The 22867-nt window shown below is 39.2% G+C and overlaps 2 long non-coding RNA genes across 4 annotated transcripts in view; one reads left to right on the top strand and one right to left on the bottom strand.

The window, feature by feature from the left end:
* Window positions 1-18131, top strand: part of LOC105377124 (uncharacterized) — a 99923-nt gene extending 81792 nt beyond the window's left edge. Inside the window, exon 3 of one of the 3 annotated variants that reach the window (XR_007095948.1) lies at window positions 17984-18131. This is a non-coding gene — a long non-coding RNA (uncharacterized LOC105377124). Of the gene's footprint in view, window positions 1-4119; window positions 4202-15964; window positions 16013-17983 lie in introns of those variants that run through there. The other 2 variants (XR_007095946.1, XR_001740437.2) reach the window with 2 other exon arrangements.
* Window positions 1-22867, bottom strand: part of ADAMTS9-AS2 (ADAMTS9 antisense RNA 2) — a 326599-nt gene that overhangs the window by 117012 nt on the left and 186720 nt on the right. The window lies entirely within an intron of this gene.

Here is a 22867-nt window from a genome sequence, read left to right as displayed (position 1 = left end):
CTATCTTCAGCCCAAGGGATGCTCATGACTGCTTAGGTTTGTCAGTCTCTGGGTGCCTCGCTACCTCCTGTGTGTTTCCTAAGCCACACCCTTACCTCCATTCATTAAAAAATGACTGCTTCAACGAACTTACGGGGTAGTGATGCATCCTGTTGACTGCCGGGATCCAAAAAAACACTCAACTGGCTTTTTTCCAAGAAGCCTAAGCAATACTAGGAATTGGCCTCTTTATGATGACCCCAGAGTTGGATCAGTAATAATAGCACTGGGAGTTAACAGTTACTGAGTGCCTGCCATGTTCCCACGCAGTATGCTAAGCAATGTATGGGAAGAATCTCAGGAAGTAGAGGCTGAACAAGTTTCTTAAAATAATGGGCTACAGGGAGCAGAAACCATTTAAAGGGCACTGACAGCCAAAGACTGTTTATGTCCAAGGGAAGGACTCTTCAGTAATATGGTAATACTCTTTTGAGTAATATAGTATGGAGACTAATAAAATAAAAGTAATACTAAAGGATCCTTTAAGGGGACTGGGTAAATGTGAACGAGAGGACTATTTTAGCAAAAATTCTTTCACTTAATACTTGCTACGAATTTACCATTAGCTCTCATTCCATCTAGTGGTAATGCCAGCACTATTCAGCCCCACCACTTCACCTGGTGAAGACATTAGTGTTGGAGCAATGGTATTTTTGCTTTATTGAGATAAGATATAATTCACATGCCCTAAAATTTACCCTTTTAAATACAGGTTCAGTGGTTTTTAGAATATTCACCGAATTGTGCAACTGTCACCACTATTGAATTCTAGAACGTTTTCATCATCCCAAAAAGCAGCTCCATACCCATTAACCATTACTCTTCATTCCCTCTCCTCCAAGCCCCTCGCAATCACTATTTCCTGTTTCTATGCATTAGCCTAGTCTAACATTTCATATAAGTGGACAAAGAATACGTAGCCTCTTGTGACTGGCTACTTTCATATAGCATAATGTTTTCAAGGTTCAAGCATGTTATAGATTCAGTACTTCATTCCTTTTAATGGTTGAACAATATTCCATTGTATAAATATGCCATAATTCATCAATTGATGGACATTTGCATTGTTTTACCTTTTGGCTATTGTGACTAATGCTGTTATGTACATTCATACATAATAGTTTTTTCCATTCTCTTCGGAACCAAGACTGCCCGGCATCTTTTAGGGGCACAATTCCTCCTTCATACTGTGGAAATCATGGTCAGTTCCTTTGGTTCAGATGTGCTTGATTTCAACTATTGGCCCCAGGGGTGGTCATGTGACCCAGACTAGCCAATGAAAGTATTTGATTCCCATGACTGTGGTGATTGGCTCATTGTTAGGGGTGCGTTTCAAGATGAGCCAATCAGTGTCCTGTGCTGGATGGATATGGCTGCATAGACACAGGTAGAGGGTGAGCTCTTTCTGTGTGGTAGCTAACTATGTCCAATGCAAGCATTCCCTGCCAGGAGGAGGGTCTGCTGAAAAGATGGAGAGCACTTATGACATCATTTGAATGCCAGAGTCCAGAGAGAACAAGGTAGAGCACTTATGACATTTGAATGCCAGAATCCAGGTGGGACTCGTCAGACCTGTTGAGCTTGGACTTCCTTCTGAGTAATGGGAGTCAGTGACAAGTATATGGGACTAAAAGATTTACTATTTGCTGGTTTCTCCTCCTATCCTAACTTCTTGAGAAATCTACAGGCACACATAATGGTATCTCCACACTACCATCGGCAAAGCAGCAGAACCTTGGTTATATGCCCCTTGGGGGCTGGGCCTGGGAGAGGGATTCTCCTAGAGAATCTCTCAGGGCTGCTTTGGGTTCTTTGGAGAGGCATTTGCTTATGAACTTCCCTTCTCTGGGATCTTCTATATACTAACAGTCAAATTGCTTTAAATTATGTATTCTAGAAGGCAGAGAAAACAACTCCTCTGCCCCCATCCTAGCCTCTTTCACTTTCTCTTGAAATTCTTTTTCTTTCCTCTTTCCCTTTACCAGCAATAATTTTTCAAAATGGCAAATTCTGCTAAGTTTTAGGTAGTGTCTGGTCATTGTTTCGGTAGTGGTGGTGGTGGTGGTGTTACTGGTACTGGTATGTATATGTTTCTCTGTATCTTATTTGATGTTCTTGATTCTTCAAAGTCAACTAAAATAAGTTTCATTTCAGAAAAATTGAACCTATAACCTAACATCTATCACGGATGCCATACTTTCCTGTCTAGGGTATGTGTACTTCTGATGATACCCTGGGCTTAAGAATAGGTAAAGTCAATATAAATATGGCACATCTTTACTGGATGCATTTGGGAGGAAATTATGTACAAATTAAAATGAAAGCGTGGAGGAGAATGCAAAATTCTTATGAATTTTCAAAATCAGATGGGAGATGTTAGATGTTGCCTTTTCAATGAATTACTTTATGGAATTCTAGGTTTCCTGAAGTGATAACAAGAATAACTGGTATTGATCCAGTCCTTACTATGTGCCAGACATTATCTAATTTCGTCATCACAACTGCCCTATAATCTAGTTGTTATGATTTTTATTTTATAGATGAGGAAACTGAGGTTCAAAGAAATCAGATAACTTAAGATCCCACAGCTAGTAAGTGGTAGAGTGTTGACTTTAATCGTGTTATGTGTGTTGTCAAAATCTTCTTAGTCACAATACTAAGTTGCCTCTCTGTATATGCAACTTTTATTTTTACTTTATGTATTTCTGTGGGCTCATTACTTTAAAAAATGAAGCTATATAGTATTATACAAAATAGATGCAGGGCGTGGTGGCTCACGCCTGTAATCCCAGCACTTTGGGAGGCCGAGGCGGGCAGATCACCTGAGGTCGGGAGTTCCAGACCAGCCTGACCAACATGGAGAAACCCGGTCTCTACTAAAAATACAAAATTAGCCAGCCATGAAGGCGCATGCCTGTAATCCCAGCTAGTTGGGAGGCTGAGGCTGGAGAATCACTTGAACCCGGGAGGCAGAGGTTGCAGTGAGCTGAGATCACACCATTGCGCTCCAGCCTGGGCAACAAGAGTGAAACTCCATCTCGGAAAAAAAAAAAAAAAAAAAAAAAAAAAAAAAAGAGAAAGAAAAGTTTCCACCCCCCTCCACTCTTTCTCTTTTAGTTTGTTTCTACTACTTTCTTGTGTATCATCCTGACAGTAGCCTCTGTGGACCTTGACCCAGCTTTTCAAAGTCTGGACTCAATCTCTGTGCCATACTGCTGAGTTGTTGGAAAAGCCAAGAAGCACTTATATAAATTTTGCCAAGAGAACAATCTGCCCAATATTGAATTTAGAACCTATTTAAATCAAATTCCTACCAGGTGCATCTGTTCAATCCCTTTGTCAGAGTATAATTTTTAAAAAGTTAGAAACATGATCCTCTCACATATATGGTGAGCACATGTCAAGGATTTCTTTAACTCAGTAGCAAGGAAGAGAGGACACAGCATGATGACAAAGCTGGTTTAAAGGAAGATATAAAAAACTGATATATATTTAGTCAGTTAAAAATCCTGGAACAAGGTTGCAAATTTAGATGCAAAATTGGTTAATTTCCTTTAAGGCAAAAAAAGAAAAAGAAAAAGAGTAACCTGTAGGGCTATCTTTCCTTCTGGATAAAAGTGATTTACATCTCTAGAGAACAAAAGTCATTTGCAATTAACAGCCTTCAACCAGTTAAAGTCTAACTTTACAGAGTCTGAGCTGTAATTAATAGTCAATTTTAAGGGAACCTTCCCTTCCTTTAGAGCAGCTGTCCAACAGAACTTTCTGCAATGACGGAAATGTTCTCTAGCTGTGCTTCCTAATGTGATAGCCACCAGCTTCATGTAGGCATTGAGCCCTTGATGTGTGGCTAGAATGACTGAGGAACTAAATTAATTTTATTTAATTTTGATTAATTCAGGTTTAAAGAGCCACAAATGACTAGTGGCTACCATAAAGAACAGCGCAGCCTGAGAGAGTCATATGACCCTTATGTGGCTTGTTAGAATAGTTAGTATGACTTTGAAAGGCTCACAGTAATCTTTCTGCCTGATTTCCAAGTTTAGGGGCCTTTTCCTGACACCTTTTGTTCTCCTACAGTTTCTTCAATCAACCCTTATTTTTCTTTGCTGTGAGGACCAGGAAGGAACCAATCTGTTTAAAAACTGTTGCCCGCTGGTGGCTCGTTGCCAGGTCTGAGATAACACTGGTGGTCCCTCTGAGGGCTGAGGACGCATTCCCCGGGTACTGCAATCAGAGCAGACGCATGTGCAGCTGTGGATGGAGGGAGCTGACGTGTTCTCTCCGGGAGCAGAGGAGCAAATGTCACGAGAAAAGCCCTTGAAAATGGTTCTCATCCCTTTCTCCATCGCAGACAACCCAGAATAAACTGTTCTGAAATGTTGACGTTTAATAATATTAATATTAGTAATGGCTGGAAAGGGCTTCTGGTAATGAGATTCCAGGATAAATAGGTCACTGGGTTTTCATTGCTTATCAATGAAGTTCCCAAAAAGATCTTTTTTAAGGAAATAGGCTCATGTAAACTTTTTTTTTTTTAAAAAAAGGAAGGAAATACATTGTCTTTATAATAAGGCAATGCAAGAGGGATTTTTGTTGATTTGTTTTGAGGAACTATTTATAAAATGATGAAGATTTTAAAAAATAAAAAAGGCTGAGCATGGTGGCTTATGAATGTAATCCCAGCACTTTGAGAGGCCAAGGCAGGAGAATCGCTTGAGCCCAGAAGTTCAAGATCAGGCTAGGCAACATAGTGAGACCTTGTCTCTAAGAAAAATGAAAAAAAAAAAAAAAATTAGCCAGGCATGGTGGCACACACCTGTGGTCCCAGCTACTCGGGAGACTGAGGTGGGAGAATGGCTTGAGCCCAGGAAGTTGGGGCTGCAGTGAGCCTGTGATTGCACCACTACACTCCAGCCTGGGTGACAGAGCAAGACCCTGTCTCAAAAAAAATAAAAATAATTTAAAAAGAAAACAAAATTGAGAATCCTCTGCTGGTCCCTGTTATGTCTTACTCAGAAAGTGACATAGGTGAATTTTATCTTAGGAAAATGTACTGCTACTGTGTTTCCAGCTGTATCAGTGCATTCTTACCTTCCCTAAATTAAAAGCCCATCACTGCTAGCTCCTAAGGACTCCTTTCAGTACCGCCTTTTCAATGCCACTTGAGCATCATGGTTCTAACAGTTAAGTTTGGCCTGCTTTGCGCTGTAAAACTTGCCTGCAAATAGCTTGGTGGTCTGCCCTGGATTTGCCAGGAGCCTGTTTTTTGAAAGGGGCTTAAGGCACAAGGCTGCTGAGTTTGGAATCATTTTGCCAACCCTGGCAGCCTCTGTGACTCTATGATTTCTTTAATGTTCCCGTCTTTCTCATTTCCCTAAATAAACTGAAGCCTTTACTGGAAGGTCAAGTAAATGTTACTGTGAATCACTACTAGTAGAGGCTCCAGAAAAGGGAATCCTGGTTGCTCTCAAATAATCTTGAAATTTCACTCTTTTAATTATTTTTAAGCCCCTGTTCTTAAAAAAAACTGTAGAAACATATGTAACATATATAAACCAAAATGTCTACTGATTTTCAGGCTAACTGAAGACTAACTAGAAATAAGTTTATTGCCCCAATGCTGTTGTTCAGAAGCTTTCTGATATGTTCATTCACCTTCCTGCCTTATTAATCAGAGTAAACATGATGAACTGTATATTTCTATGTAACATCATATACCATACTAATTTTCACTTGCGTTCTTAATATAATTTATCTTTTTGGGAATTGGGCATTGAACTACATTAAGTAGTTTCAGTATCTCCCCTTGAATATGTTGAGGGAATCTTTTGAAATCAACTTTGTACTGTCATTTCATTTTCTTTTCGTATACAGCTAAGATTTATTGAGTGCTTACTGTGAGCCAGACAATGTGATAAGTGTTTTAAGTGAATGATCTATTTTAATGCTTTTTAAAAATCAACACTGACTTAGTAATAGTGTTTTCCCTTTATTAAAGATGAAGAAACTGAGTTCAGAAAAGTGAACTGACTTACCAAGGTTACTCAACCAGTAAGTGTTGAAATCATAACTAAACTGTAGCTGTGTTTGACCACACAGCCTTGCTTACAACTCACAAAAGACTTGAGTTCCATTCCCAGCTTTGAACTTTATAGACCAAGTAATTCTTGACCTCCCCAGGCATCTTCATCCTTATTTATAAAATGAAGGTAATAGTGCCTCCCTTCCAAAGTTGGGGTACTAAGACTTGTGAGAAATTACTTCCAAACTCTAAAATGCTAAATACACGTAATGTTATTGCTTTTACATGTTTATTAGCTAGCGATGTCTTTAGTTAATTGCATTAGCTAAATTAACATATTATGCTTAGATTATAGGTGGGAAGCCTCACTATTAGCTAGCGATGTCTTTAGTTAATTGTATTCTAACTAACTGATATACTATGCTTAGATTATAGGTGGGAAGCCTCACTATCTACCATAGGGCAGAAATTGGTACAAGACCTCCTGGCTTTGGACTTGATCCAATGTGGCCTAGTTATTGAATTACCACAAGGAACTCAATTAAAGGTGGTCTGGCTAATGAAATAGGCAACTCACAGCTTCTAGTACTGGTCCTGGTTTTGACTCTCTTACTCTCTTAATATTTACAAAGTGTGTGAATATTCAGTAATCCAAATAATTTTTTCATTAGCCTTTGAGATTTTTCTGTCTTACTTGTGTTACAAAGTATGAAAATATTCAGTAATCCAAATATTTTTTTCACTAGCCTTTCAGATTGTCTATTATGGTGTTTGTTTTGTATCTGTTTAGGTGGGCTAATTAGCATAGTTAGTAATATCACTTTGAAGGGGCTCACAGTAATCTTTTTGCTTTATTTCCAAGTTTGGGATAATTTTTCTTAGTATCTTTGCCCCTACTACATTGTTATTTTTATCCCAATTATTGGAATGGTCTTCCTAATTTTGAATGGGATTTTTTATGACCTATGATTCTCTTTTCTGACAAAGCGCCAAGAACAGCAAAATGGACGTTTTTTTTGTTTTGAGACGGAGTCTCGCTCTGTCGCCCAGGCTGGAGTGCAGTGGCACAATCTCAGCTCACTGCACGCTCCGCCTCCCAAGTTCATGCCATTCTCCTGCCTCAGCCTCCCGAGTAGCTGGGACTACAGGTGCCTGCCACCACGCCCGGCTAATTTTTTTTGTATTTTTAGTAGAGACAGGGTTTCACCGTGTTAGCCAGGGTGGTCTTGATCTCCTGACCTCGTGAGCCGCCCGTCTTGGCCTCCCAAAGTGCTGGGATTACAGGCTTGAGCCACCGCGCCCGGCCAGCAAAATGGACTTAATGCAAATCAACCTGCATGGGCCATGCATTCTTTGGAAACTCTAATGCAATGTTCCTGAAAGCAGAGAGATGCCACTAAGAAATAATCTTGTTTTCTAAAGGTGGCCTTGGTAGGGTGAATTTTTTTTAAGAACATTACAATTCAACATGTCAAGGGATTGTTTCACACAGTATTGATATTTAGCTTTTAATTTTTTCTATTTAGAAAAACAAATGCCTTCCTAGTTCAAACAATGGCTTCTTTAAGGAAAACTGCAGACAAAGTGATTAAGTCACTTGGAGCTGAACTTCCAGGCAGCACTGCTTAATATTCATGATGTTTAATTTTTAAATCTCTCTCAAATGGAATTTCCATGGAGACATCAGACTTCATCATCTAAGAGGCAAATCAGTCAAATATATCCACAGACATTATCAGAGAATACGATTCATACTGTGTGCATTCCCTAGTCAGCCACTTTTGAAGATACGGTGATAGAGTCTGCACCATCAAATAACTTACTATGAGCAAGAGGATACTGATAGTTGCTACCTATATAAACATTTGTAGAAACAAAAATGAGAGATGCCTGTGACTGTTTGGGCTGAGGGGAACCATTAGAAGCCAAGTCATATTTTCTACTTTCTCAACAGATTTGGCTCCTCTTGCTTTTTTTGTATAAAGTACTTTCAACTAAGTGAAACAAGAGGTTTAACAAAGTCTCAACACTGGCTATCATCTAAGGGCAAGAATAAAAACTCTATTTGGTTCTTGTATTCAATCACCTGACCTCCATGTCTGAGACATACTAACAGTAAACTAACAGAAAACAATGGTTAAACAAAAAACAAAACCCAGCAACATTTAGCTTGGACTGTACATCAGGGAGAGGTTAAACAAAATTTATGGTCAAAGAAGTATTTATCCAGTAAATCCTACTAGTCACCATTACAAACTTGATATTAAAAATCCCACCCACGACTGTAAACTAGTTCAACCATTGTGGAAGACAGTGTGGTGATTCCTCAAAGATCTAGAACTAGAAATCCCATTTGACCCAGCAATCCCATTGCTGGGTATATACCCAAAGGATTATAAATCAAGCTGCTATGAAGACCCATGCACAGGTATGTTTCTTGCGGCACTATTCACAATAGCAAAGACTTGGAACCAACCCAAATGTCCATCAATGATAGACTGGATTAAGAAAATGTGGCATATATACACCATGGAATACTATGCAGCCATAAAAAAGGATAAGTTCATGTCCTTTTTAGGGACATGGATGAAGCTGGAAACCATCATTCTGAGCAAACTATCGCAAGGACAGAAAACAAAACGCTGCATATTCTCACTCATAGGTGGGAACTGAACAATGAGAACACTTGGACACGGGGTGGGGAACATCACACACCAGGGCCTGTCTTGGGGTTGGGGGAGCAGGGAAGGATAGCATTAGGAGAAATACCTAATGTAAATGACAAGTTAATGGGTGCAGCATACCAACATGGCCCATGTATACATATGTAAAAAACCTGCACGTTGTGCACATTATTAAAGTATAATAAAAAATAATAATAGAATAAGAGAAATGGTGGTGTGTGTGTATGTGTGTGCATTTTTTAAATAAATATTTTTAATTCTTTTAATTATTGAAAACTAAAAAAAAAAAAAAAAAAAAAAAAAATCCCACCCTCATGTTTAGGAAACAGTGATAGAGCCAAGTGAAGATAAACAAAACTGCCCATCTGCTTTTATTTAAAAAGATATTCAACTTTCCTTATTAAATATTGTAGGTCTGTTTAGAATGTCACCAACACATGCCTTTTTGGGAAAAGAAATCCAGAAGAGAAAATGTAAGCCCTTTAAAATGACAACATACCGTGTAAAGAAGATAAACCATTAGAAATTTGATTACGCTGACTTTTTTTTTTTTCATTTCTGAAAGGGGAAGAAGGTCTTGATTGTTTTTGCTGACTATAGAAGCAAGACCTACTTCTAATCGTGTTTCTTACTGATGAAGTCTCAGAGGACAGTGGAGGAGATCGATCTTATCATGATAGAACTTCCTTTTTGATTTGATTGATACAGAAAAGCTGCAGCCTGTTGGAGGCTTAAAACAGCCTTCAGAATATACATCAAACATCTCCTTGGCCCATATGGTGCCTCTGAGTTGCAGGCTTTGAGGATTTCTTTAAACACCTCTCCTCCTTTTCCAGGCTCTGTGTCCACATCAGAATGCTCTGCATCCCCATCAGAACGTTGTGTACCATGGAGAAACAATATAAATAAATCATGTAATAAAATGACCTTTCCCAAATCACGTTTTGGCGAGAAGATGCTTTTTACAGCTGTCTCTTTGCTCTCCCTGCAGATGCCAACAACAGTGGAACTTTTACAAGTCCTACTAGAAGTTTGACATCCAGTTGAATTCAATTCTGGGGGAAGCTAAATTCAGCATGCTTCCTTTTCACATTTTTTGGCAGATTGAAAATATATACTGCCAATGAACCAGAGTGTGTACAAATAATATCTTCAGCCTTAGAGTTTGCTTGTGAAGAGAAGACAGTTCTGGGAGAAAGACCTTGAGGAGGGAATATAGAGAGGGATTATTTATTTATTTACTGGACTTGTTTATTGGCTTGGTTAAGATAGCTGATTATGTTGTCCTGGGAATTTTTGACCACGGTGATATGTAAATAAGGAAACGACTTGAAAAGTGATATGTAAGGCCTCTGATACATATGAGAAGTGATGGAAAGTGATATGAGACAGTCCCACGTATGCCAGGAGCTGAGACACAGCCACTGAGGGGTTTATTTTCTACAGGTGGCAGTGTTTTGTGGAATATCTGACAGACCACACTATTTGTCAACACAGCCTAATCCACATGTCACACAACATTTCCAGTATGTTTTCAGAATATGGCCTATTCATGTTGATTGCCAGAAAGGTCAAAATTCACAGAAATCCAGCAATACCCAAAGGGTAGGCTGTAAAGGATGAAAAAGCAATTCCAGAGAATGCCTGTCGCTTTTTTGTTTGTTTGTCTGTTTTACTCTCAATTTGCTAATTCAGGTTGTCTGGGCCACTGTATGGCACTGGAAGAAGAACAAGAAAAAGAAGTTAAAGTTATAAACTCTCTCTCAAAGCAGTTCTAGAATGTTCCTGCTCCTTTGCTGTCCTAGTCACTATAAGTTCTTTTGGAAGGAGGTGGGGAATAAAGTCATGATTAAAGAAACAATGTTTACTTTCTTCTTCTTCTCTTATAGTGGCCAAGCCAGTGATCATGTATTAGAAACCATGAGTGCTCTCTTCCTTCTCATTCTCCTCCTCCTCTTCCACTTGTTTTCCCTCTACAATTCTCTTCACTTCTTTCCCTCTTTCTCCCCCAGTTCTTCTTCTGTTTCCAATTCCTCTTCTTCTCAAAGTTCTTTGAATGTTCTCACTTCTTCTAATTCTCCTCCATTTCCTTCCAATTCTCCTAATTCTTCTCCTTCTCCTCCTTCTTCTTCTTCCTTCTCTCCCTTTAAGCCTCAGCTTCCATGTATAGTTTACTCATTTGCTAGTTTAGAAATGGAATCTGCTATAGATTTCCACAGAATCTCAGAGTAGACCTAGTAAAACTAGGCTGAAACAGAAGAGTCCATACACCATCACTCCTTCTACTCCTGCCTCCATGGCTTTCTGCATGATCAGTAAGCTAGAGTTTCTTATTTTTTGGGCCATTTCCACTAGAAATTGTTACAAACTGTACAAGGAAAAAGTGGAAAGAGCAGAGTCTTAAAACTGCAAGTGGACTGACTGTATTTATTAATGAACAACCTTTCTTTCAAACGGAAAAATAATAACTTTCTGTTTTTCACACTAATTCATTATAAATAGACACCTATTCTTGTGTTGTCACTTTCGAATTCAGTTACACCTTGCATTTAGAAGATGATAAAATATAATCAGTGGCAATTATTTAATAAATGTCCTAAAATAGATAAAAATGTTATTTAATAAAAAAATGCTTCTCATTAAAGGACATTGATCTACTGGCTAAACTCTAGTTTTGACTACGTAACATTGCCAAATTCAACAAGTTCTCATCTACAAAAATGAGAATTTCATGAGATTCAATGTAATAGGCTGACTTTAGGTAAAATGATGATTTGGGCTAAATGTCTTCAGGGTCTTCCAAGTCCTAGACTAGGGCCCACAAGGACTTGATTCTTGACTCTTATACTGAATCCATTAAGAGTCCTGAGACTTGGAGTCTTTTCTCTGTATGTTGTGAATATACGCAGTTCACATAAAGGTGACAATTATAGGTTAACAGCTAAACTTTTACTAGTCTGCTGAGTATTTGAATTGCAAGAGGAGAATCAAAGCCCTAACCCAAAGACATACAATTCTAACAGCTATATTTGAAGATAGATATGGTATTTTATGGGATTATATATTGTTGAAGCTAGAGTCAAACTTAAGTACCATTTTATACAAACCCTCCATTTAAAAAATGAGAAAACGCAAATGTAGATACACCATGAGTGTTAGGACCAGACTCTCATAGAGTGGCTGATGGTGCAAGTTTCGTTGCTACTTCACTTTCCTTAACTCTATTCCACACACCCCGTGCCTATTTTCTAGTCCTTTTTTCTTCCTGACCGCAAATTGCAGATTCTACCTCTATTCAGAAGGAGTGGGAGGAAGGAGGAATAGGAGAAAATAGAGCCATTTTCCCTGGCTCTGTAATAAACATTTTTCATTCCAAGGTAGCAAACTAAACACAAGCTACAACCTCTTCCACCAACCTCAAATCTTCCAGAAATGCCAGCAAACATGTTTGAAATGAGTTTGTACACAGGTGCACTACAAAACTAGAAAGGAACTCTCCATGGGCCATAAACTGTGAGGAATCCCTAAAAGGTAGAAATTAGGTAACATCAGATTGAGAAGTAAAACTCCAGCCCAACACATGTCTGGGACAGTCCATTTATACTCTTCCAAATTCCGTCTCTCCGTGTTCAACCAGAGCTGAATCTGACTCCCAGTCCCTCCCTCCTCAAAGCCTTCCTTGCCTTAGAACTCTCTTTACTGGCTTGTTCTACACCAGTTTTTATCCATCTTCTTTTCATCATCACGCCGTAAGAGTAAGGACTTTTTGCCCCCATGAGCCAATTTTTGCCCCTTAGGGATGGTGTTTCTTCTCTTGAGAATGTCTTATACCCCAAAGATCATCACAGAGCTTCTTTTAGAAGATGCTCTGAAAGGAGAGGTTCTCTGACTCTTCTCAAGCTATACCATGGAAGTGAACAATATTTCTGCTCCTGTGGATGGCCAGCTCTGGGTGAATGGTTGTCATATATGTGAATAAAGTCTTTTTTCCTTAAATGGCTTAGGGGGAAAATTCACAGGGAAAAAATCCAAGCACCAAAACATGGTTTAGAAACATTTACTCTTTGTTTTACTTTTCCTCTAGTGTCCCCAGGACATGCTTTGCAGAGATGACTACTTCTGGATAATCTATAGCATGTAGCTATCAGCGTTATTAAAAAAAAAACTCATTGGTGGTAGGCAGCCTCTAAGATATCCTCAGTGATTTTTTTCCTTTCGGCATTCATGACCTTGTTTAATCCTTTCCTTCTCCTTGCGCATGGGCCAGACTTACTGACTGGCTTCTAACACACAATTTTGCGGAACTGATGGTGGTATGTTTGGGCTCTGTGTCCCCACCAAAATCTCATATCCAGTGCTGGAGTTGGGGCCTGGTGGGAGGCGAGTGGATCATGGGGGTGGTTTCTCATGGTTAGCACCATCCCCCTTGGTACTGCCATGGTGACAGTGAGTTCTTACTAGATCTGGTTTTTATGAGTGTGTAAGTATCTCTGACCTCTGTTTCTTCCTTCTGCTCTGGCTATGTGAAGATGCCTGCTCCCACTTTGCCTTCTGCCATGAGTAAAATCTCCTTGAGCCATGCTTCCTGTACAACTGTGCTTCCTGCAGAACCATGAGCCAATTAAGCCTCTAAATCTCCTTGAGCCATGCTTCCTGTATAACTGTGCTTCCTGCATAACCACAAGCCAATTAAACAGTTTTTCTTTAAAAATTACCCAGTCTCAGGCATTTCTTTATAGCAATGTTAGAACAGACTCATACAGATGGGATGTCACTTCCAAAATTAGGTTATAAAAAGACTGTGGCATCCATATTGAATTATCCTTGTCCCTCTCCCTCTCCCTCTGTTTCTTAAATCACACACTCTTGGGGAAGCCAGCTTCTGTGTTATGAATAGTGCCCTGGATGCCCACATGGTGTCTAACTGAAGCTTCAGACCAACAGGCCTATGAATGAGATTTGAAGCAGCTTCTTCTGCCTGTGTCATGCCTTATATGACTGTTATCTGGCTGATACCTTGATTGCAGCCTCATGAGAAGACCCTGAGCCAGAATCACCAAACTAAGTCCTTTCAGATCCCTGACCCACATAAAGTGTGAAATAGTTTATGTGTGTTCTTTTAAGCCCCTAAGATTTGAAAAAGTTTGTTATCAGCAATAGATATCTAACACATTCAAATTAATTTCCGTGTTTTTTTTCTTTCCTCCAAGATTATTTATTATTCATTAGCTAGTGATATGGTTTGGCTGTGTCCTCACCGAGATCTCATCTTGAATTGCAGTTCCCATAATCCCCATGTATTGTGGGAGGGACCAGGTGGAGATAATTGAATCATGGGGGCCGTTTCCCCCATCCTGTTCTCATGATAGTGAGTTCTCTTGAGATCTGATGGTTTTATGAGGGGCTTCTCCCTTCGCTGGGCACTCATTCTTCCCCTTCCTGCCACCATGTGAAAAACGACGTGTTTGCTTCCCTTTCTGCCATGATTGTAAGTTTCCTGAGGCCTCCCCAGCCATGCTGAGCTGTGAGTCAATTAAACCTCTTTCCTTTATAAATTCCTTTATAAATTTCCTTTATAAATTATAAATAAATTAGTCTCAGGCATGTCTTTATTAGCAGTGTGAGAACAGACTAATAAAGCTAGTCTGCCTGTTTTGTATTAGTTAGATGTCTATTTCTTTTAGACAGACATTGGAGATAGGACTAAATGTTTTACCAAGGCAAAAATAAATACCAGCACATCAAATTAGAATTTAGTTTCCCATGTTATTAGTATGAGAAAAGTGATAAATCTGGTGGAACAAAATGTGACTAGTTCAAATAGAAGTAACCATACTTGGTTGTCCTTTATAAAGTTATATTTTATTATTATTATTTCAATAGTTTTTGGCGAACAGGTGGTGTTTGGTTACGTGGCTAAGTTCTTTAGTGATGATTTCTGAGATTTTGGTGTACCTATCACCCAAACAGTGTACACTGCACCCAATGTATAGTCTTTTATCCCCGACCCCCCTCCCACCCTTCCCCCTAAGTCCATTATGTCATTCTTATGTGTGTGCATCCTCACAGGTTAGCTCTCTTTTATGAAAGTGAACATACGATGTTTGGGTTTCCATTCCTGAGTTACTTCACTTAGAATAATGGTCTCCAAATTGCTTGAACCCACAAGGTGAAGATTGCAGTGAGCTGAGATTGTGCCACTGCACTGCAGCTTGTGTGACAAAGCGAGACTCCATCTCAAAAAAAAAAAACAAAAGGAATAATGGTCTCTGGTTCCAACCAGGTTGCTGCAAATGCCATTATTTCATTCCTCTTTGTGACTGAGCAATATTCCATAGTATATACGTACATATGACATGTGTGTCTATATATGTCCACATATGTCCACATTTTCTTTATCCACTCATTGGTTGATGGGCAGTTAGGCTGGTTCCATATTTTTTCAATTGTGAATTGTGCTGCTGTAAACATTTGACTATATAAGAAGACTTCATGAATTCCAGTCCCAACAATTCATCATTTCTTATTATTTGGTAGAGTCTGAGGAGTTCATTACCTCTGCGTCTTAAAGAGTTAGTTAAGAAAAGTACAGCATAAAAAGATTGCAAGGGTAATGTCCACCAGCTTATAGGAATAGTTTTTTCCCCTGAAACTATAGTAGCCCCTTGACCTGTAAGTAAATGAAAAACTGTATTCAAAAATCCCTCATCTGTTCATCAAACTAGGCCCAGTGAGTTCTCCACAAGATTCTATTTTTGCCCAGTTGATATCATTTTATATTTTCTGCACTCCAGTTTGATTGATTCATTCATTCATCAAGTATCACAAAGATAATGACTTTCTTTTTTTAACTCATATTTTAATTAAAATATTTTATTAATTCAGAATTATCTCTCCCTTCAATAACTCTAAATTAGTGAGTTCTTTCTTTGAGACCATTTTGAATATTTTTCTTTTTTGGGGTGGGGGCTGGTGGTGTTGGACTGGTTTGATTGATTTCCGTAGAACCTGTTTCCTTTTTTTAAATGGCTACTCAGAATTTTTCTCTGATGAACAAGTAACCTAGAAAATATCCAGAGATACTGGCTGACTCGTCATATTAAAAATATATATTTTGTTTAGCAAGGCTGTGAAGAATGACTCATTCATAATCCAGCTTAATGAATCAACAAGGCCAAAGGACACAGATAACACTATGTCCCTTGTTCAAATGCAGCAAGCAGAGATACTGGTGTGGAGGAGAGCTAGGTGTGGATTTACATGTCAGAAGAAATATCTTCTTCACCACTGATCTGCAGCTCACCTGCATCTGGGCAAGTGACCAAAAGCTTTGACATTTTGCAGACCTGAGTCTGAAACTTGGCTATACCCCTTATTATCAGGTTATCCAAACTCTCAGCCTTTTTCGCATCTTCAAAATGAAAGGAAATAATTCCCCCTTCATACTGTTAGGAAGTTTAGATGAGATGAATGATGTAATACTTAATTCTTTACCTGGGGCCTGATACATTGTAAACGCATGGTGAATGACCAGGTTATTATGTAAATGGTGAACTTGAACTCTGTTTCTAATAGACAGGTGACTTCTCAGGTATCAATCATTGAAACAGAAATTGAAGAAATGAACTATTTTACTCCTCTGCTCAATGCATTAGTTTTAAATCTTACGGAATTTCCTTTATAATAGGTTTAAAAAAATTTCAAAGATTAGTTCACATAGTCCAATCTACTGATGATTTTATACTCAGAAAGTTACATTCAACTCCATCCTACAAACCAAGGAAAATATCAAGGACAAGAATAAGTTGATTATGGTTTCCCTTGAAAGCCCAACAAACCACTATATTTGTTTGTTTTTTTTAAAGCAATGGTAGGTACCAATTTTAAAACTACTAATTTACTTATCCTTCTAACTTTCTAACTAGTAGTCTGAGTGTAATAGGGCCAAATGCTTATTTAGACAGTTGAGATAGAAACGTCCAATAGTTTACTGACAGTTGTCCAAATTAATGTGTTTTAATTATTTTCATTATAATTGATCTAAGTTTTTGATCCTATTTTTATAGAGACATTTAAAATCCTCCCTTATTAATTGCTTGCCTCATCATTGCGTACACTCTCAAGGTCACTCCGACAAAACCTGGGCAATGAAGCAGAATGATGACTTTCTGTTTTAAGTTAGAGTCTTGTTTGTTTCTAAACAGTTTCTAAGTCCCCAGGGTTTGTTGTCTTAAAAAGTCAAATTTGTCATTGTCTCCAGACCTTGAGCTATCTAAACATGGAAACCCAAGTTCATGGATAGGGTAATAGAAGAGCAAGCAGAAATCTTGATTTCCAGGCTTCCAGTTGCCACATCAGCTCATCTAGACATCGGTTTAAGGGCAGAGTAAGGACATTTGAGTCCAAAAATTCCTTTAATCCACTTTTATTATCTACTAAATTCTTAACCTACAGTATTTAACCCTCAGAAAATTTCATGAAAATATATTCTATTTTTTTAAGTTTCTTTTACCAATGGGAAAAGTTAAACTCAAAGTATTTAAAGCACCTTCCTGGAGTTCCCAGTCAGCTCATAACCCTTAGGCTGAATCTAGAACATTGGTTCTCAGCCAGGGATGATTTTGCTCTCTCTTTCTAGGGGACACTTTGCACTGTCTGGAGACATTTTTGGTTGCCACAAGTGGAGGAAGGTGCTACCGGTGACTATGAGTAGTGGCTGCTAAACACCGTACAAGGAATGCACAGGATAAGTCCCTGTAGCAAACAATCAGCCAGCCCAAAATGTCTAGTGCCAGAGCTGAGAAACTAGAGTTCTGGTAGACAGAGCACTGTCTACCAGAACTTTCTGTGATGATGGAAATGCTCTACTAGACACTTGAAATGTGGCTAGTGTGACTGAAGAACTATAAATTTATTTAATTTTAAATAACTTAAATTGAAATAGCCCCATATATCCAGTGGGTATTCTGCTGGACAATAAAAGTGTTATTTGATATATTATTACTTCCTCACCTATACAATGTTATAATCATAACCATTTTATTAGGTTGTTCTAAGAACTGAGATTAGTAGGTATGCAATAAGTTATTAGCTGCTATTTTAAAATTTAAATAAGTCCATGTATGCATACTAATTATGCTGTTACATATTTATATTCTATGTACATATACACATGAATGAAACAATTTCCAAAGAATGGTCTCAAATAATAACTGCATGTTTTGATATTCCACAGACTATTAAAATGCACCAACCCAAGGTCTCCAGTGCTGCTGAGTCCCCCGTGTCACCTCCTGCAACTGCCACAGTTGTCAACAGCTCAAATCCTAGAGACCTTCTTCATTAGGTCAATGAGTATCTAAACTTTAAAAAATAAATAAAGGGGTAATTATTAGCTTGCCCCCCATCCCAACAAGGCCAGATTTCCTTAAATGTCAGTACCTTGGTAAATATAAATATGCTTTGATTTTAAAAAGCAACATTTGTGTGAGCTTTTTGGAAGCTCACCTTTTTTTTTTTTTTTTTTTTTGAGATAGAGTCTTTCTCTGTCACCAGGCTGGAGTGCAGTGGTGCAATCTCAGCTCACTGTAACCTCTGCCTCCTGGGTTCAAGCAATTCCCCTGCCTCAGCCTCCCGAGTAACTGTGACTATAGGTGTGCGCCACCACGCCGGCTAATTTTTTGTATTTTAGTAGAGACGGGGTTTCACTATGTTGGCCAGGACGGTCTCAATCTCCTGACCTTGTGATCTGCCTGCCTCAGTCTCCCAAAGTGCTGGGATTACAGGCGTGAGCCACTGCGCCAGGCCTGGAAGCCCATCTTTCAATGGCTTCTAGCCTGAAGGCCTAGCCCACTTCTGCAGTTTGAAGGTGTCTCTGGAAGACAGGCAGAATGGCCCATCAACACTGTTTGCACGAGGATGAAAGGATCTTGGTGGGCATACCAACGACTGAGCATTTCGAGGCTGGCAGTTGGGGCTGGACTCAGGTCTCTGCTGCTGGGGAATAAGGTCAATCCTTACATCTCAAGACTTACCTTTGTCAGGCAAAGGGCTCAGTCTATAACGAGTCTGGGCACACAAACTTGATACGAGAATAAGGACCAGTTAGATTCTTCTGGCCTCAATGTTCTAATGCTCTTTGAGCATAATTTCCTATGGAATACAGGGTTTGAACTCAAAAAAAGTTGGGACCAAAGAAGAAATCAGAATAAAAATAAATAGGGTCATGGCCTTTCTTTTCTTCTCTTCCTTTGAGTTTCAGCTTAACTATCACCCCTCTAGAGACTTCCAACCTCACCCTCTGCCCTTTTGTTATTTTATCTCCTTATTAGTTTCCTTGGTAGCACTTTCGAGAATTAGCAATTATGTATTTGTGGAGTTATCTACTTAGTTTCTCTCTGTCTCTCTCACTGGAGTATAAGCTCTGTGAGGGAGGAGACAATGTCTGTTTTATTCACCATGGTGTCTTCATGATTCAGCACAGTGCCTGAAACACACTAAGATGAGTGAAAAAATAAATGTTGGATGAGTGGATAAATGGAAACAAAATTAATTTGGGTTTAAATGCTACTGATGACTCTTCTGATTGGAATAAGCCACAAAAAGCAGTGAAAATATTAATACATTTTTCTATAATCCTGGAAAATAATGCTCCCAACTTGTGTTCATTTTTCCTGAATCTCAGAGAACTTTGATTCAGAAGTATTTACCAAATTGTAGTTGTCCCTAATTCCAGGATCCTGGCACAAGGTCTCTGGGGATGAGGCCACCATAGAAAGAATTATTTGAGCAATTATATGAGACATGTAAAGATCAAGCCCAAAGTCCGCACAGCCCAAGTTGGTTCCTAAGGATTTCATGTCTGCCAAGAGCAAAAGAGAATATGGGAGTTGCCAAGCATTATATTGCCTCCCACCAAAGTCCCTATTTGGGTCCCCTTAGATATATAGTTGCTGAGACTTTCTTTCTTTTCACAAACACTCACAATGAGCCTACTATACACATTGGGTCAGGAGTCGGGGCTGAGTTACAAAGAATACCCAGTAATACAGGTTACGGTTAAGCTTTTAAGCCTACAGATCTGGGTTGAATTCCAAAGTTGGGCACTTACTGGGGACCTTGGATAAGTTACATATACCCCCATCCCTGTGATCCCTTATCTATAAACTGCGGTGATCATAGCACATATTTCCTACTGTTGCGATGAGCTTTCAGTGAGTATCTCTGGTTAAGCATAGATGCAGAGTGCCCAGCACATAGGAAGCACTCCATACATCCTAATCATATGTGATAATTTTAAAACTTGACTCCAGACTCTTTGGTGTTCTTCCCATTGCAAATTGAAGCTATGTCTCCTCCCCTTGAATCTGGAAGTCCTTATGAGTGCTGTAACAACAGCCTGTGGTGGAGATGACAGTTTGTCTTCCAAAGCTAGGTCGCAACGACATCAGCCTCCACCTTGCCTGCTAGAAGCACTGTTCTACCTTGAAAGAAGTTCCACTTCCCCAGTGCCACCATGCTGAGGAAGGCACATGGAGGACCTCTGGTCAAGAGTCCCATCTTAGTCCAGTCTTCCAATCATTGCCACCAGGATGATAGACCATGCTGCTTGGAAGTAAGCACTCCAACGGCAATTGTTCGTTGCCCCAGCTAGTCGAGTTAATGCCAGCTGAGGCCCCAGACACTGAGAAGCAGACTCAATCCACCCAACCTTTGTAGTCAGAATTTCTTATCCATAAATTCCAAGAGTATAATAAAAAATAGTTTTATGCCACTAGGTGTTGGAATAATTTATTACCCAGCAATAGGCTGTGGAACACTACAATCACTATTCACTCAATATTACAAACAATTGTGATAATTATTAAGAGTAGTCCCAATTATACCATAATCACTAATAATTACTGTCAATAATTGAGTAGATTATTATGCTTACCACCTTGTATCCATTCACCCTTCTCCTGAGAGAAGCCTAGAGATGCCTGGAACTATTTTATCTTTGCTCCTCCTACAATGCCTTTCCCACCTGCCAATCTTTTTCTGACTCACTCTTACTCATCCTTTAAGATCTCAGATCTGGCATCACCACCTCCAGAGAGCCCACTCCCCATCCTGGGTCAGGCCTCCTCTGTAATGCTGCAGTGACCTGTGAGTTTTTCTTTGCACATTGCACACTGCACTGGCTCCATTATACTAAGAATTTATGTGAGCTCCCTGAGGCAAGGCACTGACTTGTTAATAATATTATTTTCCCAAGGGCCTTCCGTTTGCACAGGAAAGACAGGATGAGGTAAAGGCAGAGGTTGAGAGCACAGGCTGTGGATCTAGACTGCCTGGGTTCGAAGCTTGGTTCTGCTACCTACCAGCTGTGTGATCTTCCATCTGCTTTAAACTGTGTGTGTGTCCCATGTGAAGGAAGCTTCATTCATAAAGTTTCTTATGCTTCAAAGATTAAAAGCTTGAAGGAATAGAGAGCATTTGGATCAGTATTGGACATGTAAGAAGTCTTCAATTAATTACCCTTTATTGATTACAAAATTGTACCTGTTGGTTTGGCTCTAGACAGAGGGGCAGGCCTTCCATCTCATTTTTCTTGTTCTGTCTGCAGTTTTCTCCTCTAGGTATTTGATCTGCTGTATTTTTGTTTGTTTAGCCTGGGACCTACCAGTAATTCCCAAATCTAGCTGTATACTCTAACCTTATCTGGGGAATTGATTGGAAAAGCTCAGGCACTGCTTCCAGTGTTTCTACACAAAGTGATACCAGGGAACCCATAGCGTTAACAAGTTCACTCAGCAGTACTGGGGATGTGGCCGAGGGTTAGGGCCAGCATTTGGGAACATTGACCTAGAATTTCTATCCCGTTTAATGTTACTGCTTTATCTTTCTCAAATTTTCAAGCGGGCATCCCATACACGCAATTTCCTCTTCATATGGCAAACTGAAGTCTGTTTAAAACAAACATCCAAATGCCATTTCAATCTATTTTCACAAGATATCCCTTTTCTCATCTAATTTTTGTCCCCTTCACTGGTAGTTAGTAGCTGACCCTGTTCTTGTTCACTAAAAGAGCTGACCATTTGTGGTCAAACAGCTGGTGGCCTCTTTTTTTCTGGAGGGAGTGGGATGGGAGGGGAGTAAAATTGCAAATAAGGGTGTTAAGGCTGTTTTCTAAAAGAGCCACTCTCTTGGCACATTTTGTGCTTCTCTCTACCAGAGAAGGGGGAAACTGGGGATTATTCATAAGGGAATGAATAAATGGTCAGACTCACTTCAGAGTCAGATGCTTATCCTCTTTTCAAGTGGGAAATGCTTTTTTTCTATTTCCTATTTGTTTATGAATTTCACAGCATATATTCCTAAAACACCATTCCTGGAGGGAGGTGACCTGTAATTTTGTCAGAATTATATTACCCAATCACCTTAAGTCAGTATATATTTTAGATAGAAGAGAGATAGCAGAAAAACAATCCTTAGAGCACACCTGTGAGACCCTTTGAATAGCGCTTTGTGAATGAATTGCCCTTTATCTCTTTCCCAAATGATGCTATCACAGCTTAACTGGCACTAACACAGCTGTTCACAGCTGCACACAAGATGTTAGCAAGAGCACAATGTCAACCATTTGTCCTTGTGTGGAGCAGCTTAATTTATTTCCTTTGAGGATGAAGTCTGATATTGTGTTCTAGCAAGAATCCAATCAGCAAATCTAAAAGACATTCAGAGGTCAGATTTAAGGGATGAGATGAGATTCTGTGTCTGATTCTTCTTGTGGCTATCTCCCCCTGCCCCTCAAAACCTACCGAGTTGAGAACTGATCTTGATGATGAATTTGTTTTTAATAGACCCTGAGCAGGAAGTGAACTGAGGTGGAAAAAATGTTCTTATTATTTGAGGGAGAACCATAGCCACTCTTCACCTCTCAGCTGGGTCAGCTGATGCCAGAATGTTCTTCACGTACCAATTAAATGCAATGTGAGATATATATATATAGCTAGATATATAGATAGATATATAGATATAGAGCACCTACTGCATGCCAAGCAAATGTGCAGGACCAAAAAAGGCAATAAAAAGTTTTGATTTTCATTGGAATTTAAGTTTCATGTCTTGCTGCTGA

This window comes from Homo sapiens, chromosome 3 (assembly GCF_000001405.40).
Source record: "Homo sapiens chromosome 3, GRCh38.p14 Primary Assembly".
NCBI lineage: Eukaryota > Metazoa > Chordata > Mammalia > Primates > Hominidae > Homo > Homo sapiens.
Note: the sequence above shows the minus strand (reverse complement) of the source record. Positions and strands in the feature narration are given on the sequence as shown.